Here is a 20531-nt window from a genome sequence, read left to right on the forward strand (position 1 = left end):
CCTAGAGCACATCAGAATTACCTGAGGAGCTTTTAAAAATATGGCTGGGGTCATTCCCACATTTTGGAATGCTATCACTGATGTTTCAGTTTGACTTGTTTGTTGACAAGGTTGTTTTCCTCTCTCAATAATATGGACATTCACCCTGAAAAGATCACTACATAGCTTGCATCTGCTTGCTTTCTTACTTAACTAGCCATTCAGTAATTTAGTTTTCTGCTTCATTTTTCTGACGGTTACTTCATTAAGCAATGTATGCTCAGCTATTGGAAAATTATTGACAAATACAAGATAGGGAGCCCCAGAGGGTCTCACTGAACCTTTCATGTGGGAGGCAGTTTGAACCTGCAGAGAGAGGTTTAATCTAAACCATGCTCTGCCTATATTAGCACGTGTGCCCTTGACTATTTCCAAATTAGAAGCATGTGTGACAACTGGGTTATAGGATGATGAAGGTATAAAGGGAAGGGTGGATTAGTCAGGGGTTTCCAGAGAGGTAGAACCAATAGGATGGATGGATGGAGATGGAGAGAGAGAGACAGAGAGAGAGAGAATGATAGATGATTGATAGATAGATAGATAGATACATACATACATACATACATACATACATACATACGACAGGTGCAGTGGCTCATGCCTGTAATCCCAGCACTTTGGGAGGCCAAGGCGGGTGGATCACAAGGTCAGGAGATTGAGATCATCCTGGCTAACACGGTGAAACCCCGTCTCTACTAAAAATACAAAAAATTAGTCGGGCGTGGTGGCGGGTGCCTGTAGTCCCAGCTACTCGGGAGGCTGAGGTAGGAGAATGGAGTGAACCCGGGAGGCAGAGCTTACAGTGAGCCAAGATCGCACCACAGCACTCCAGACTGGGCGACAAAGCGAGACTCCGTCTAAAACAAACAAACAAAAAAACAAAGATAGATAAGATACATTAAATAGATAGATGAGATGGCTAGAGATAAACAGATGTGATAGATAGATGAAGTAGATGAGAGAAAGATAGATATATGAGAGATGAGGTACATAGATGAAATAGATTAGATAGATTAGAGAGATAGATAAATGAGATAGATAAGTAGACAGATTAGATCAGTACATAAATAGATTAGACACATTAAATAGAGAGATGAGATAGATAGGGATAGAGAGATGAGATAGCTGAAATAGATGAGATCGAGACAGAGATATGAGAGATGAGGTACATAGATGAAATAGACTAGATAGGATAGATAGATGAGATAGGTAGATTGATAAAATGGATTAGATAAATTAGATAGATGATAGATGAAATAGAGATAGATGAGATAGATAAGACAGATGAGATAGACAGATAGATAGATAAGATAGGTAGGTACGTATGTAGTTAGATAGATGATAGATAGGATAGATAGAGGAGATAGAGAGATATATATAGAGAGATGAGATAGGTAGATTGACAAGGTAGATGAGACAGATAAATGATAGATGAAATAGATAAGATAGATTAGATACATGAGAGAGATGAGATACATAGATGAAATAGACAAGATAGCTACATAGATACATGAGATAGATAGATAGATAGATAGATAGATAGATAGATAGACAGATAAATAGATAGGCAGAGGTAGAGATGTAGAAGGGGATTTATTATGGGAATGGGTTCACATGATGAAGGAGGCTGACAAGTCTCATGAGAGGCCTTTTCCAACCTGTAGACCCACAGGAACCTACAGTGTGGCTCAGTTCAAGTCTGAAAGCCTCAGAGCAAAGCAAGCTAATGGTGTAATTCTCAGTCCCAGACTGAAGGCCTGAGAGACCGGTGGGGCATTAATGCAAGTCCTGGGGTTAAAAAGCTGGAGAACCTGGAGTTCTGAGGTCCAAAGGCAGAATCACAAGGGTGTGCCAGCTCTGGAAGTGAGAAGAATTCACCTGTCTTCTCACTGTTTTCCATTCAGGGCCGCAGCCAACTGGACAGTGGCCACCCACACTGAGGGAGAATTTCCACCACTCAGTCCACCAACTCCTATGCCAATCTCCTCTGGAAACACCCTCACAGACACACCCGAAAACAATGCTTAACCAGCCATGTAGGTGTCTCTTAATTCAGTCGACACCTAAAATTAACCATCACAAAGGACTTTGGCTTGTTCTGTTATTTCCTTAAATTCACTTAAATAGAATTGTGCCTCTGCAAAAGAAATTAATAAACATTCAGTTAGAAAGCACCAATTACTATTTCAAGGTTAACCGTATATTCACACATGAAATATTGGCAAAACAGGATGAGTGTCTTCTGCAATTCCATTATTTTAATTGTCAGAGGAATACAATATCAGCATAGAAAGTTTAAAACAAAACAAACAAACAAATTCAGATTACTTAAATAATAAACAAAATGTGGTGTATGTACACAATGGAATATAATACAGCCTTAAAAGGGGAATGAAATTCTGATACATACTACAACATGGATGAACCTAGAGGACATCACACCATGTGAACTAAGCATCATGCCAAGTTAAACAAGCCAGACACAAAAGGACAAATATTGTATGATTCCACTTCCATGTGGTACCCAGGATAGTCAAGTTCATAGAAACAAAAAGTAGATTCGTGGTTACCAAGGGCTGGGGAAGTGGGAAAGGAGTGATGAGGAGTTATTGCTGAATAGTTATGGAGTTTCACTTTGGGGAAAAGAAAAAAGCTCTGGAAGTGAATGGGAGTACCAATTGCACAAGGGGAATGTACTTAATGCCACTGAACCATGCACTTTTAAAAGGTTAAATGAGCCAGGCTCTCACCTGTAGTCGCAACCATTCAGGAGGCTGAGGCAGGAAGATCTCTTGAGGCCAGGAGTTCAAGACTGCAGTGAGCCACGATTGTGCCACTGCACTCCAGTCTGGGTGATAGAGAGAGATCCAGTCCCTAAAATAAGTAAATAAATAGGTTAAAATGATAAATTTTATGTTATGTATATTTTACCACAACTTCTAAAAGATTACCAGAGTAGACATCAGTCATCATATATGATAATTTCTTAAAGGATGGGTGGAATTCAATACACAAAAGAAAAGTGAGGTGCCGTGAAGGTGGAGAAGATCAGAATACGACACCCAAAATATGCCACTGTGATGTAAGGATTATTTTGAGAAAAGGCAGACACACAATGAGGCTCTCTGCCCTTTGCCAGCTGCCTAAAAGCAAAACAAATTTTGCCTTGCTTCCCTTCTTCCCGACCAGGGGCAAGATGGCACCAAAAAGAATCTAATAAACACACCTTACCAAATGACCCTCATCAACCATCAGCATCCCCTTTATATTCACCTTCCCACCATTTACAGCCCCTAAAAAGTCCAAAAACCCTTGTCCTTTGTTGTGTCACTTGTCTACAAGTGTATCATTCTTTGAATGGTATAAAAGCGTTCAAGTCTAGGTGCTTCTTGGGGGATGAGGAGGGATCTTTTCTTTGTGAAGCACCCCCCAACACCACCAACCAACAATGTAACATAAAGCTTAGCATCAAGTAAAATATCTATGATTTTCTCCTGTTAATTTGTCTTTTGCCAGTTTGTGTTGCAAGCTCATCCACACAACCCAAGAAAGTAGAGGAAATTTTTTCTCCCATGCAAAGAGGAAGAAATCCTACTAGAGGGTCCTTCACTAGTAAAAAATTCTACTAGAGGATTCCAAGCAGTGCACCACACTCAGACCTGTGGCTGGGTGCATCCTTCTACAGCAGTAGTTCCCAACCTTTATGCCACCAGAGACTGGTTTTGTGGAAGACAATTTTTCCATGGACTGCAGTGGGGATACAGGGGCATGATTTCAGGATGATTCAAGTGCATTATATTTATTGTACACTTTATTTATATTATTATTACATTGTAATATATAATGAAATACAACTTATCATCATGTATAACCAGTGGGAGCCCTAAGCTTGCTTTCCTGCAAATAGACGGTCCCATCTGGGGGTGATGGGAGAAAGTGACAGATCATCAGGCATTAGATTCTCATAAGGAGCACACAACCTAGATCCCTTGGATGTGCAGTTCACAACAGGGTTCGCACTCCTATGAGACTCTAATGGCATCACTGATCTGACAGGAGACAGAGGTCAGGTGGTAATGTGAGTGATGGGGAGCGGCTGTAAATGCACAGGAAACTTCCCTCACTAGCCCGCCACTCATCTCCTGCTGTGCAGCCCGGTTCCTAACAGGCCACAGACCCGTCAGTGGCTGGGGCTTGGGCATCCCTGCTTTAGAGCACAGGATGGATTGCAACAGAGTAACAAGAAACATGGTTGGAAACACAATTTAATGGCAGCCTATGAAGTTGGCACTTTCTTTTATAACCTTGTAGCAACTGTGGAGAAGCACCTATCATCATAATCCATATTATTTTCCACGGTTGAGCCCTGTTTCACAATGTCACTGTTAATTTTCGACGAAGCTCCTTTAAAGCAAGAAACTTGGGTGGGATTTCCTGCAATCCTGGCTGGATTACCCAGAAAATGCACTTCCCACCCTAACCCCCTCAAAAAACAAGTTGAATTCTTAAAATACTTTTAGTAACTCAAAACAAGGACCAACCAAGGAGAGATGCCCTAAAGAAAGAATAGCCTGTCTGTTTCCACATTCCTGAATGGGGGAGTCATCTTTTTGTCACCCTCATAGAAAGAATTCTTCTGAAATGCCAACAGCCTCTGGTAGCATTTGGGAAGCAAGGATGCCCCAAGCAGTGTGAGAAGGGCTGTGTTGAGAGAATTTTCCAAAATAAGACTTGTCTCTCTGCCAGGGTAGAAAAAGCCTCTGCAGCCCGAGGTAGGACACTTGGTGTCTCCCTTTTGCTTCCTTAATCTATAAACCATGGCCCATGGCTGTCAGGTAGCTCCAAAGAAATGCTGAGGAGATTAATGAGATTGTATCTGTGGAATCCTTGGGGCCTCTGGGAAAATGTACTGCATACAAAATTAGCTGCATTTTGACATTAGCCTGTATGCTAATACCGCTCACATCAACTAGATTATTTAGCAATGACAGAAAATGTAACTCCTTCTCCTGGTTCTTTATCATTTCATCAAATGAAAATGACCTTTGCAAATAAATAATGTATCGGTTTCTTTGGCTGCCGTTGTTTTCATCATGGTCCATTTATTGCCAGGATCTCCATGACCAAGGTCCCAAGACAACCCTCTGAGGATGAATAGCATCAAGGAACAAGCTCTGGCTGAGGTCCCAGAAATCCTCGTTTCTCCGAGAAGAACTGTCCCTTAAACGTCTAAAGGTATGACCAGCCTAATGCTGTCTTCCTGCCACACCCTCTAAACTGTGCTGCAATTAGTGGTAGTGACTAATCTACTCAGTTTTAAACACAGCAGAGACCTCAAGGCAAGAGCTACCCTAGATGAAGCCACCTGTGCTCACAGGTATATATATTGAACACACTTCTAAGCAAGACAGTGCATGTAGAGTTTGTTCTCTGAAAACACTGAACAGATGAGCATGGCTCAGGGAATTGGAAGATCTGAAAAAGAGCACATCACTCCAAGGCTTTACGGTAAAGCTGCTAGAATCATCCTCTTAGAAGATTTAGATTAGGAAATGTCACTCCCCCCACTTCAAATCCCCATTGAGATTGCATTGCCTGTGAAATAAAACCCAAGGTATTTAGCATAGCACACAGGATCTTCCAGGGTCTGGTCTCTCACTTGCTGTTTAATCTTACCTCCCAACACGTGGTGTTATTGTGCCCTGTGCTCTGATCACACTTCTGTTTAATTCATGATTCTCTTGATAAATCACACACTCTCAGGCCCTTATACCCATCCTCCAGTCCCAAATGTCCTTCCACTCCACTCCCCTTCTATCTTCAAGTCCACTTATCCGTTAAAGTCCAGCTTTTAGTCCATCTGCTTTGGAAAATCTTTCTTGATCTCCCAGACAAAAGGAATCCCTCACTCAACAATGGTGCCTCCATCACCCGAAGCGTTTATCACTGGGTTTAGTACGAGAGTCATTGACAGTCTCTGAATTCAAAGTGACATTGGTGAGAAGTCTCAGCCCCCTCCTTCCTTGGACATTCGACAAAAGTTGCTTGAGTGGAATTGAGTATTTCTGACTGATGTTCTTAAAATGATGTAATTTTATGCTCAGACTATAGGGTGATGTATTTCCATCATCTGTTGGACAATTCGCTTTTAAGTCAGGGACTTAGATACATTTTATTTGTAAAGTTTCCTTATTTTCTCAAACCTAAGGCACAACCAGAGAAACTGGACGTTTTAAAAACTAAATTTGGGCCAGGTGTGGTGGCTCACACCTGTGATCCCAGCACTTTGGGAGGCCAAGGCAAGTGGATCACTTGAAGTCAGGAGTTCGAGACCAGCCTGGCCAACATAGTGAAACCCTATCTCTACTAAAAATGCAAAAATTAGCCGGGCGTGGTGGTGGGCACCTGTAATCTCAGCTACTCACAAGGTTGAAGCAGGACAATCACTTGAACCCGGGAGGTGGAGGCTGCAGTGAGCCGAGATAGTGCCACTGCACTCCAGCCTGGGCGATAGAGCAAGAACCTGTCCAAAAACAACAACAACAAAACAAACAAACAAAAACAAACAAATGAAAGCTGAATTTGGGAGCCTAGCACACTCTAAGCACAAAATGTTCTAATCACTCCCAATCTTCAGTCCACACTAATGATATAATCGTCCATATCATCTGACCAATTCAAGACAGACTCAGCTGCAGCTGGAAGCAGGTAACACCTCGAAACAGGGCAGTTGACTTTGACCCATGCATTAAACCACTGCTTGGCAATGCAGTGTAAACTATAAAACTGTAGCTAAGTTGAAGACCTCGCCACCCTTCCACTCCATTCCCAGAGTTAAATAGAGGTGAGTCTTGAAAGCAAGCCTCACTCACTCTTCATGGACTGCATTGCTGTGACCTCTCAGGACTCACATCCCCTAAGTCAGCCGCCTGTTCCCATCAGTCTAGACCCAGCAGAAATGGTTGGCGTCAAATGTTCAAGGAGCAACACTTTGGCAGTGTCATTATTATTAAATGCAACTAAATGAACTATTAACACCATCTGTTCATTGTGGTGGATGTCAGACGTGCCATTCCAAATAGTGCAGGAGCTGCTGACGCTGGATTTCGCAGAATAAAATCACCTTCTGCTCACTCGACCAAACAGTAGGAGCACATAACTGTGTGCCAAAGGTCTGGGGTTTTTCTGTGTGTTTGTTTCATTTATAATTATTTTTGATTATCCAATTTCCTCCGAAGCCAATAAGAAACACTGTGTACGTCCCAGTTTTCCTCCATAGCTGGAGGTTGTGACACACCCAAAGCCTCATTGTTGTAAATCTCTTCAAAGTACACAGCTCATCAATTGAAGACTGGGTTCCATGGAGAAAGGGGGGAAAAGTGTGGAGCTGCACTGATCACGTATGTAAATTCCGTTTTGTGGAAATGTCCCAACTGGAAGGAAATATCACTGAGAATGTCAGGGACAAGAGAAAACATCCCCTTCCCCCTCTGAAGTTTCACTGAAAATCACTGACAAGAGGCAGATTAATAGGAGAAATGGCGCAAACATTTATTTTATAACATTTTTATGTGACATGGGAGCCTTCAGACTGAAGACCCAAAGATACGAGGGAAACTGTGCATTGTTATGCTTAGGTTCAAGCAGGTATGAACAAAATCCATGTAGAAATAGCATCGGAGGAAAAGGGCCTGATCTAAAGCAAATGGACTGAGGGTGGAAACCCCGCCAGGCCTGTCTGTGTAGATTCTTCTTGCTTCTCTCTCTGAGCAGCGCTCCTTCCTTCCGGGTGTGCTGCGAGACCCTCTCTGGAATGCGGGTCTTAGGATCTACAGTCAAACCAGGTAGATCAGAGGATTTCTTTACGGCCAGTTTTGACACTGAGAGGTGATGGAGGGTAAGTTAGAGTCCTATTTTAGGTTTTATGTCTGGCTTTGGGGCAAAAGGGGCTCTGGTTTCTATGAACCACCTTGGGGAGGAGAAATTCTAGTTTTTATGAGGCCTGGAGGGAGAATGGGACTGACAGACAGGAGGGCAGGAGAAGGTGAGGAAGAAACTTTTCCTTCCGAGGCTTCTTCTGAGGCCTTCGTTTTGGGGTAGTGTTCTCTGAGCACAACATTAGCTAAGGAAGAGATTTAGGCTTTGTCTCCTTAGTAAATTCTGGTCCACGTGGGGCTGCACAAAGCCTTCATTGTGTCCAATTCACCGCAGCTTATGGGACCTTCCCTGCTGTGCTCTCAAAGCCAGGAAGCACTGCTTCTCCACTGTGTCCAGCTCACAGGGCCTGGGTGCCTCAGGCACAGCCAATATTCTGCTTTTACATTTGATCACCTATAGTCGCATCCTCAGACTGTCAATCTACAGCATGTGCAGCATTCAATGTTTCTTTCCTGGAGTCAGCATACTCGGGCTCTCTGGCTGGAGTTGACTCATCTCTAAACTGCTCTCCACATCCACAAAATAACTGCATGCCACCTATTGGTGCAGGGCTAGGGAACCAAAGGATGCAATGCCCTCAAGGAGCCACATTTTATTTTATTTTAATATTTATCTATTTATTTATTTTGTGTGTGTGTGTGACAGAATCTCACTCTGTCGCCCAGGCTGTAGTGCAGTGGCGTAATGTCAGCTCACTGCAACCTCTGCCTGCGAGGTTCAAGCAATTCTCTAGCCTCAGCCTCTGGAGCAGCTGGAATTACAGGCATGTGCCACCATGCCTGGCTAATTTTTGTATTTGTAGTAGAGACGGGTTTTTGCCATGTTGGCCAGAATGTCTCCAACTCCGGACCTCAAGTGATCTGCCCGCCTCAGTCTCCCAAAATGCTGGGATTGCAGGCATGAGCCACCACGCCCAGCCTATGAGCCAAATTCTAGTGGGAATTTTGGAAACAGTGCTTTGGAATATACAAATCATGAGAGCTTAAAGTCGGGCAATGATAAGGAGCTCCTCATCTCTCTAGGCAACAGGCAGTAAGATGAAGCGGTTCAATGATTTTGGCTAGAAGAACAAGGGTCCTGCACCTTCACCATGTTCATCTTGGGGATTCTGGGGAGCCATATACTGTGGAAGCAGCCCTCACAGGATCAGGACTCCAAAACTCAAGAAAGTCAAAAGCCCCATGCTACTAAGTCTTCCCTGGGTCCTTGCAATTCTGCATAAGAAACACCAAAAGGGGCGGGCACAGTGGCTCATGCCTGTAATCCCAGCACTTTAGGAGGCTGAGGCGGGTGGATCACTTGAGGCCAGGAGTTCCAGACCAGCCTGGCCAACATGGTGTGACCCTGTCTCTACTAAATACACAAAAATTACCTGGGCATGATGGCGTGCCCTGTGGCCCCAGCCACTCGGGAGGCTGAGGCAGGAGAATTGCTTGAACCCAGGAAGTGGAAGTTTCGGTGAGCCAAGATCGTGCCACTGCACTCCAGCTTGGGTGACAAAGCCAGACTGTCTCAAAAAAACAAACAAAAAGAAACACCAAAAGGCTTAATGTTGGGGCTCAGAAAACAATTCCTGGCTCCTCCTCCTCTGAGCCTGGAATCCTGTCTTTTCATCTTCACATCCCCCACAATTTGCACAATGGCAAGTCCATGGAGATTCACAACTTAATGGAAAGGATCACTAATTATTTAACTTTGTTTTTTTCCATTTGAAGCACAGTGTCTAGAAACAAGATGCCATTTCCAAAACTTTACATTTATTTACAGATAGTCCTTGTCTTATGAGGGTTTGAGTTACAATTTTTGGACATTATGACGGTGCAACAGTGATATGCATTGAGTAGAACTCATACTTTGAGTACTCATACAATTTTTTTTTCACTTTCAGTATAATACTGAAATAAATTTCATGAGATATTCAACACTGTATTATAAAATAGGCTTTGTGTTAGATGATTTAGCCCAAGCATAGGCTAATGTATGTGTTCTGAACATGTTTAAGGCAGGCTGGGCAAAGATATGATATTTGATAGGTGACGTGTATTAAATACATTTTCAACTTACTATATTTATTATGGGCTTATCGGGATGTAACCCCATCGTAAGTGGAGGAACATCTATGTATCTCCCAGGAGAGGCCACAGTGAGCATTTTTCTGTTGGGATATACCTTTCTTTCTTGGCTGACACAACCAGGCCAGGGCATAGGGTGTGGTCTGGGAGCCCGGGAAGGGACTGTCGGGCACTGTGGATCCATAGATTGAAGCCGTCTCCAGATGGAAAAGTGAAGAGCACAGCTTAAGAGGGAACAGGTCCCATTTTAAACTAATAATGTTAACAACAGAGTCTCCAATGGTTTAGAATTATTATTATTATTATTACTACGAAGAAAGGGTCTTGCTCTGTCACCCAGGATCGAGTGCAATGATTTTACCTTACTGCAGTCTCAACCTCCTGTGCTCAAGCGATCCTCTCACCTAGCTTCTCGAGTAACTGGGACTCCAGGCGCACACCACCATACCCGGCTAATTTTTGTATTTTTTGAAGAAACAGGGTTTTACTATGTTGCCCAGGCTAGTCTCCAACTCCTTGATTCAAGTGATCATCTCATCTCAGCCTCCCAAAGTGCTGGGATTACAGGTGTGAGCCATCATACCCAGCCTCAACTGATTTATTCATTTTACATGAACCATAGTATGTATTTATTACAGAAAATGCAAAAGTTTAGGTCATTCATCTAGATTCAACCATCAAGAAATAATCATTGGAAAATTGAGGTAGGGAGATAAATCAATAGCTAGATGATAGATAGCTACATGGATAAATAGGTGATGAGTGGATAGATAGACAGCTAGAAAGGTAGATAACAAGGTATGACAGATACACACAAACGACGGAGGATACACATGTGTGTAAATGAAAGGATAGATGCATAGATAGATCAGTCTATATGTCTTTTGATGTATAGATAGATATGATAGATGATGATAGATAAATGGAGATGATAGATGATATATAGATATGATAGATAGATACAATAGCTAGATGGAGATGATAGATAGATATGATAGATAGATACATAGATACGTAGATAAATGGAGATGATAGAATGATAGATAAATGGAGATGATTGATAGATGTGATAAATAGAGATGACAGATAAATGGAGATGATAGATGATTGATGATAGATAGATAGATATAGGTAGAGATATAGATGTATATATATAGATAAAGATGTGTCTTGTCTATTGGATATATTTTGTTGACTCATGTATTGCAAGTGATTCTTCAAACCAACCTTCATTTATTCCTCCTTTAACACATCATTGTCACCACTCAGAACTTATGTGTCCTAAATTGACTGCCTGTTCCAGTTAATCTAGACCCAATAGGATATGTATATATATTCTGCAGGAGATAGATATAGATATGTGTGTGTATGTGTGTGTGTATATATATATATGTGTGTGTGTGTGTGTGTGTGTACATATTTTATAAGGACATACATCCTTATAAATCAAAATGTATATATACACATAAAATGTAAAGGAACATAAATATGTATACACACATATTTTTATAAAAATATTTTTTACCAAAAGGTAGTTCATATTGATCATGTTTTATTTTAATTTTATAAACTGACATCCTTGACCCATATTATTTTTTCATTTAATGATAGATCATGATCATTTTTCCATCCCAATAAATATTTGTACATCATTTTGTGGCCCCCGCAGCATTCCATTGTGTGGCTATGCTTTTATTATTTAATCATCCATGCTCTGGATACTTCTTAGTTTTGCTAAATGGCCTTAATCTAATAAAATTGTGCACCTGATCTCACCCCCAAAATGGTGTCAAGTAACAGGTAAAGATTTTCTCCCTGAGAGAAAAAGATGCATAGAAGAAATGCAACATTCAGTAGTTAGACTAAGCTCAGACACTGTCAAGTCATGGCTAATGATACATGCCGGTATATTACCTTACTCATGGAATGTATTCAATAAATGATGCCTTAATCAGTGAAACTATGTAATTGCAGATAACTAGACTTTTTTTAAAAGGGCTAAACAAGCAAACATTTGTAAGAGGCTGAATAAATAGCTCTCCTTCACAACATGAGTTTTGCATCAGTTGAGGTAGACAGAGGACTCAGGACGAAGTGAGTTCAAAATGTTGGTATTATCACTGGTGAATTGAATACTGGAGGCCATGATTAGGTACGTAGCAGCCCTGGGGTTCCCTGGATAGAGATCCAGAAGTGGGCAGGCTTACCCTCAGAACTGCAAGAAGCACAGAACCACCCACTGCCCTATCTTGCATGGCTAATAGCAGATCTGAAGTGGGGTGTGGGAGAAGCCAGGCTGAGCTGCCAAAGGCAGGGAACCCAGGTGAGAGGCCAGGGGTAGGGACCAGGGAAATATCTTCCAACAGAAACCCAAGGCATGTCAGAGAAGGGCTCCCACGAAACTAGATCATGTTCTTGATTCTATCTAATATCTATTAATCACCAAAATAAAAGAAAGGCTTAGAGGTTCTTCCAAAATGATAAATACATACTTGTGAGCCTAAATGAATATGTTAGCTAAAAAAAAAAAAAAGGTCTCCAATTCGCTTACATAGCTGTCTTCCCCATTTTTGAGAAGATGCTGATTATTTCAGTGGGAAGCATTATATGTAAGCTGGTGGAATGGCTCTGGGCTGAACTTACCCAGAATGGTAAATCATCATCTTACTTGTGAAGATAATGTGTCAGCAGAATTCATATCTGTGCTGATTATTTACTTTAATGCTGATAAAAAGTGAAATGAACTGCTTGAAGAAAAAATATTCATGGTAGACAGCAGCGTGCAGAGGCTGGTACTGACAGCTACAACGAATGGCTTGGTGGACCCTGATAGTAAATGCAATTACTATCCAACTCTGTAATTAGACACTCTGAAAAGAATAAATATGCATGTCGAAAGGAAAGTCCAGAAGCAGATAAACTGAGACGTGAACCATGTGCTGATGGGATTACACATGATCTTTGTTCCCTTCTTTACCAAGTCTCTGAATTTCTGAAATTTGCTTTTCCTTTAAATATATTTCTATGTATGTATGTATTTTTTTTTTTGAGACAAGGTCTTGCTCTGTTGCCCAGGCTGGAGTGCAGTGGCACAATCACAGCTCACTGCAACCTCAAACTCCTGGGTCCAAGTGACCCCTGTGCCTCAGCCTTCTGAATAACTGAGAGTAGAGGAAGACATCACCATGCCTAGCTATTTTTTCAAAATTTTTGCAGAGCTGGAGTCTTGCTATGTTGTCCAGGCTGGTCTTGAACTTCTGGTCTCAAGTGATCCTCCCACTTCAGCCTCCCGAGTAGCTGGGACCACAGGCACAAACAACCATGCCCAGCTAATTTTTTAATTTTTTGTAGAGACAGGGTCTTGTCATGTTGCCCAGGCGTGTCTTGAACTCCTGGCCTCAAGTAATCCTTCTACCTTGGCCTCCCAAAGTGCTGGGACCATGGGCATGAGCCACTGTGCCTGGCCAGAATATATTAAATCTTATAATCAGAGGAAGTATATGTTACTTCCAGAAGAAGAGTGACTGATTCATCCTCACCTTCGGTAGGAGAGAATGCAAGTACTGTGCTATTGGCTCATTTTTAACCATTTTTAGGACTCCCATCTTGGCTTTAATATGCTTCCACCTTTGATGGCTAGCACCTGGGGCACTTTTTCAGAATGATACCCTTGGGTTGCTGGAGCGATTGCCCCTTTATGCACAGAGAGCTGTAAGTGTCTGGGATTTTGTATCTCCCTTTCACTAGTGGCTGGCAGCTATGGGGCATCAAAGCTTGCTGCTCTGGGTTGGAACAATACTGAGTGTATTGACAGGATGAGGCTCCTCTCTGCTGTCAGTACCCGATACCTGGCCTCACATCTATTCTTGGTTTCTTTTCCTTCTGTCCTCCTTCCTGCACTTCCTACCAGACTCCTCCTGGAAGCACTTTGTGGTGAACACCTGTGGTCCCTGCCCTCTTGTGCTCACAGCCTACATAATCCTCTCCCCTTCAGCAGGGACGAGACCTGTGACTTGTTTCTGGCCAACAGAACATGGCCACAGCAAAGAACTTTTGCAGATGTCAGTAAGGTTCCAAATTAGTTGACTTTGAGTTCTCTAAAAGGGGAATTATCTTCGGTGGATTTGACTTGATTAGGTGAGGAGCAGTAAAAGGCAGATATGGCCTTCCCTGAGGTCAAAGATTTTCTCTCTAATTAATTTACATTTTCACCAACAGCATAAAATCATTCCCTCTTCTCTGCATCCTCACCAACATCTATTGTTTTTCGACTTTTTAGTAATAGCCATTCTGACTGATGTGAGATGGTATCTCATTGTGGTTTTAATTTGCATTTCTCTGATATGATTAGTGATGTTGAGCATTTTTTTTACATGTTTATTGGTCATTTGTATGTCTTCTTTTGACAAACGTCTTTTCATGTCTTCTGTCTACTTTTTAATTTTTTTTTTCTTGTTGAGTTATTTGAGTTTCTTGTAGATTCTGGATATTAGCACTGTGTCAGATATATAGTTTTGCAAATATTTTCTCCCGCCTTGTAGGCTGTGTGGTCACCCTGTTGATTTTATGGAAAACAATATGGAGATTTCTCAGAGAACTAAAATTAAAACTACCATTCGATCCAACAATCCTGCTACAGGGTATATACCCAAAGGAATAAAAATAATTGCATCAAAAAGATGCTTGCACTCGTATGTTCATTGCGCACTATTCACAATAGCAAAGATATGGAACCAACTTAAGTGTCCATCAACAGAGGACTGAATAAAGAAAATCTGGTATACATATTCCATGGAATATTTACTACTTAGCCATCAAAAAGAATGAAATTATGTATTTTGCAGCAAGATAGATGGAACTGGGGGCCATTACCTTTAGTGAAACAATTCAGAAACAGAAAGTCAAATATTGCACAATGTCACTTATAAGTGGGAGCTAAATAATGCGTACACTTGGACATAAAGAGTGGAATAATAGACACTGGAGACCAGGAAAGGTGGAAGGGTGGGAGGAGAGTGAGGGATAAGAAATTACTTAATGGGTACAATGTACACTATTCAAGCAATGGCTACACTAAAAGTCCAGACTTCTCCATGGAATTTATCCATGTAAAAAAACTGCACTTGTACCCTGTAAACCTATAAAAACTTTAAAAATCAAAAAATGCCTTAAAAAACAAAGACTTTCTCCCTATTTCTGGACTAGAAGAGACAAACTCCCATGCTGTGAGGGGGCTTATGAAGATAGCTACAGGGCAAAGAACAAACCGTAGGTGGTTTCTTGGAGCTGAGAGCAACCGCTAGCTGACAGCCAAAAGGGAAGTTTCAGTGCTACAGCTGCAAGGAGATGAATTCTGCCAACAACTTGCAGAAGCACGAGAGGAGATCTTCCCCGAGAGAGGCCTGTGTGGGGACCTCGACCCTGACTGACACCTGGATTGGAGCCTGTGAGACCTTGAAGAAGGGAAACCAGCTCTCTTGCTTGCTGAGGCTGCCATGACAAACTACCACAGACGGGGTGACTTAAACAACAGAAATTTATTCTCTTATGCTCTGGAGGCTGGAAGTCCAAGATCAAGGTGTGGGCAAGGCTGGTTCCTCCTGAGTCTTCTCTCCTTGGCTTGTAGACGCTGTCTTCTCCCTGTGTCCTCACACAAGTCTGTGTCCCAAACTCCTCTTCTTATGAGGACACCAGATTGGATTAGGTCCCACCTTACAAACTCATTTGAACCTAATTACCTCTTTAAGGTCCAAGGCCTCATCTCCAAATACAGTCACATTGCGGGGTAGGGCTTCAACATATGAATTTTGGGGAAACACAGCTCAGTCCATAGAAACATCTAAGCTATGCCTAGGGATTCCTGATTCACAGAAACTGTGAGATAGCAAATGTATGTTGTTTTAAGTTGCTACTTTGCAGTAACTTGTTATGCAGCAATTGAAAATCAATGAAACCTGCTTCAAATGAGGTGAAGGTGTTAAGATTGGTGGATATCCCTGTCAATCATTTCTGCCCCAGAGGAGGTTACAAAAGAACCTAGAACATCTCACTGCCCTGTCCCATTGATCTGTATGTCCACCTCTCCAAAAGTCCAGATTTTCTGGGAGAAAGAAATATGCTTAGCAAATCACTAGTGCATGAGTTGTCTAGTGTATTAGGTGCACGCCCAATCCACAGTCAATAATTTTCTCAATTAATATTCTTTAAGATGAATTTTGAAGTGGATGTTTCACAACATGGTAAGCTTCAAATAAGTCACATTGATAAACTGGCACAGCCACTATGGATGACAGTACAGAGGTTCCTCAAAAAGTTAAAAATAGAACTATCTGATGATCCAGCAATCCCACTTTTGCATATATATCCGAGGGAAACAAGATCAGCGTCTCAAAGAGATATCTGCACCCTCATGTTATTGCCACATTATTCACAATAGCCAAGATATGGAACCAACCTAAACATCCACCAATAGATGAATAGATAAAGAAAATGTTTATACATACATATATACATTTATTCATATATATATATACGTGTGTATATATATGTGTGTATATATATGTGTATATATATGTGTGTATATACATATGTGTATATATATGTGTGTATATATATATGTGTATATATGTGTGTATATATGTATGTGTGTGTGTGTGTATATATATATATATATATATATATATATACACACACACACATAAATATGAATAGTATTTGGCCATTAATCAGAAGTAATTTCTGCCATTTGGGACAATGTGAATGAACCTGGAGGGCATTATGTTAAGCAAATTAAGCCAGACAGAGAAAGACAAATACCATATGATCTCACTTAGATTTGGAATCTAAAGAAGTTGAATTCCCAGAAGCAGAGAGTAGAAAGGTGGTTACGAGGGGCTGGGGAGTGGGGGACACTGGAGAGATGTTGGTCAAAGGGTACAAAGTTTCAGTTATAAATAAGTTCTGGGGATGCAATCTACAGCATGGTGACTATAGTTACCAATACCGTATTGTTTACTTGAAATTTTTTAAGAGAGTGGATCTCAAATATTCACACTATCCCCAAATAATAATAATAATAATAATAATAACTATGCACAGTGATAGATAAGTTATTTACCTAGTGCATAGTAAAAGTTTCATAACGTGCTCGTTTATCAAAACCTCACACGGTACACAGTAAGTATATTCCATTTTTACTTGCCGATTATACCTCAATAAAGGTGGGGGAATAAAAGAATTCATATCTCTATTCTATGGCCCTGTGTTCTCTGATTCCCTCAGTGTCTGTTTCTGGAATCCAACCAAAGAGACTTTCCCTTGCCCATCAGAAGAAAAACATGCTGGGGAAAATGTCACAAGAACGAACTGTTTAGGTACAGCTTTGTGTCACACTTTGAGGTACATTATTATTTCATGATATCCTGGGTCAAATTCCTTTTCATTAGTTTAAATTTACTTTCTTTATTTAATTTTATTTTTGAAAGAAAAGATGCAAATATCCCATATGACCTTTAACTACAGTCCTCAGGTAAGTGACAGCAACAACTGAGAGATTTTCTTCAGGCTGATAAATTTAACATGATTTAATGAAAAAAATGAAGAAAAACACAAGTTAGGCTTGCAAAGTTTCTGTGAGAAATCCTCCTTTAGAAATTACGCCAGCTTTTCATGGAAAGCAATTGCAACACAGCAGAAAGCAATCTGCTCATGCAACCCATCCCAAGTGAGGTGAAGGTGTTATGACTGATAGACATCCCTGCCAACCATTTCTGTCCTAAAAGAGGTTATAGGAGAGCCCAGAATATCTCTCTTACCTTTGCAATTGACTTCACTCATCTACTTCTCCAAAGGTTTAGATTTGCCCAGAAAAGAATGAAAAGGAAGAAGTCTCGCCAAAGCTGAGGGCTGAAAACCATGTTGGTAATCTCCAAATGTTGTGGTTCTAAAAGAACAGAGGGCAATGGAAAAATACAAAACATTTCAGATATAAAGTTATCTAAAATATACTTACTATAGGACATAAAAGCCCATTATGAGGAGAAATAACTTTATGTGTTATAGGACATAACAGAAGATGTAACAAATGGATAGGTGCGTGATGTTCACTAAAGGGAAGGTTCAATATCTTTAAGATGTTTGTCATCCTTAAATTAAGCTCTATATTCCATGGAAATCACCTATCAAATCACAATACAGCATATCCTTAAACTGGACAAGTTGATTCTTATTTCATATGGAATGTAAGTGGCCAAGAATCGCTAATAATATATTGAAGAATACTAATAAAGATGGGGAAATCTCCTAGTAAATATCAAGACATTAGAAAGATTGGTGGAACACTGGATAGACTACACTTAGCAGAATAAGGAGACAGGAAATAGAGGAATATATAAAAAGACATTGACAATATGGCAGAAATTTGGTGTACAACGGTGGGAAAGGAACAGGCTAGTCAACAAGCAATTGTGTGTAGAAATGGGGGGAGAGGGTGGCAGATCCCTTCATCGCACTACCAAAAAAAAAAAGAATTAAAAATCTGGTGGATTAAAAATCTAAATTTGTGCTGGGCATGGTGGCTCACGCCTGTAATTCTAGCACTTTTGGAGGCCAAGGCGGGTGGACCACTTGAGGTCAGCAGTTCAAGACCAGCCTGGCAACATGATGAAACCCCATTTCTACTAAAAATACAAAAAATAGCCAGAGGTGGTGGCACGCGCCTGTAATCCCAGGTACTAAGGAGGCTGAGGCACAAGAATCACTTGAACCCGGGAGGCAGAGGTTACAGTGAACCAAGATTACACCACTGAACTCCAGCCTGGGCCACAGAGTGAGACTGTCTCAAAAAAAAAAAAATCTAAATTTAAAAGAAAAATGCCCAAACAACTAGAAGAAAGTATATTAAAATATTTTTATGATCTTGGACTGGAGAAAGTTTCCTGAAGATACTAAATGCATAAATTTTAAAGGAGAATATTGGAGTACCAAACTGCAAGAAAGTCAAAAGTTTCTGTATAAAAGAAGACATTGGAAACTACGCTAAAAGATAAGCCATAGACGAACAGAGGTTTAAAAGGAATCAAACCCTAAATGGATTATTTCCTACTCCCGCAAGAACTCCTGCAAATCAATAAGGAAACAGAAGACTTAGAACCAAGTGATCAAGTAATATAAGAAGGTGATTCAGAGTAAAGGAGATTGAACAACTAAAAATATGAAAATTTGTTCAAACCCTAAAAATTAAGAAAGTATGCCTTTAAACAACATTTGATACCAATTAGAATGGTTAAAAGAATTACAAGATAGGATAGCACCAAGTGTTTTCAAGATAGTGGAAAATGAAATTTTTCACACTCTTGATAATTCTGTAAATCTGTTAAATTATTTTGGAAATACCTAGTAAAGTTGCAAATGTACCTCATTGTGATATTACAAACTAGCAATTTCATACACACAAACAAAAAAAGCTCATAAATAACCAACAATACACAAAGTATTGTTTGCAGTTAAAATAAAAACCACAATAACCTTAATGTCAGGGCATATGTACAACAGTGAAAAATAAATGAATAGATGTACATATGTGAACCTGGATACATCTCAAAAAGTATACATGACAGCCTGGGCAACACAGTGAGACCTCCATCTCTCTAAAAACGAACAAAAAACAATAAAAAAAAAAAAAATTAGCCAGGCATGGTGGCACATGCCTGTATTCCCAGTTACTCAGGAGGCAGAGGTTGGAGGATTGTTTGAGCCCAGGAGGTTGAGGTTGCAATAAACTATGACCGTGTCACTGCAGTCCATCCTGGGTGACAGAGAGAGGCTCTGTCAAAAAAAAAAAAAAAAAAAAAAAAAAAGAGAAGAAAAAAACAAGTGGCATAAATATATAGTTTGATATTATTTATGCATTTTTGTTAAAAAGAGAAAGCTATACTACAGATTGTTTTTAGAGATGTATGCATATTACATAAAAATGTGATTGGCTCAGGAGACTAAGGCAAGAGGAGAGAAGATCACTTGAGCCCAGGAGTTCGAGTCCATCTTGGGCAACCTAACAAAACCCCACCAAAAAAACAAAACAAAACAAAACAAAACAAAACAAAACAAAACAAAAAAACGCCTGATTGATTTGGAAAGATAGATTCTCCACTACTTGACACTACTTGAGGACAGTGGGTATTTCTAGGGAAGATGAAAAAGTAAAATGTAAGTGTGGCTTCAACTGTATATATTATATTTTATTTCTGGGGAAAATTGAAGCTTCAGTAAATACGGCAAAAATGTTAGTATTTGTTAAACATGAGTGTTGGATTTATGAATGTTCCCCATATTACTCAAAAAGATTTTTTTTTAATTTAAGAAGCTCAGTTGATTGGGTTCAGCAAAATATGTCGATGGCAGATTTAATTCAAAATTGGAAAGAAATCTGTTACTGTTTTATTCCAAGATTAGCCTTATTTTATCTTGCATTTTAATCTTTTC

At 40.4% G+C, this 20531-nt stretch overlaps 1 protein-coding gene across 1 annotated transcript in view, besides 1 other annotated feature; it reads right to left on the reverse strand.

Moving 5' to 3' along the window:
- Nucleotides 2285-20531, reverse strand: part of PUDP (pseudouridine 5'-phosphatase) — a 442316-nt gene continuing 424069 nt past the window's right edge. The window contains exons 7-8 of the transcript XR_007068202.1: nucleotides 17864-17991; nucleotides 2285-2913 (exon numbers count right to left, since the gene is read on the reverse strand). The gene's annotated coding sequence lies outside the window, so the exon portion shown is untranslated. The remainder of the gene's footprint in view (nucleotides 2914-17863; nucleotides 17992-20531) is intronic.
- Nucleotides 15386-15435: an enhancer, noted in NCBI's record as "active region_29381". NCBI's record gives its function as "activates an Ori minimal core promoter by ATAC-STARR-seq in GM12878 lymphoblastoid cells {active_cell/tissue: GM12878}" and the evidence as "EXISTENCE:reporter gene assay evidence [ECO:0000049][PMID:35858748]".

Source organism: Homo sapiens, chromosome X (assembly GCF_000001405.40).
Source record: "Homo sapiens chromosome X, GRCh38.p14 Primary Assembly".
NCBI lineage: Eukaryota > Metazoa > Chordata > Mammalia > Primates > Hominidae > Homo > Homo sapiens.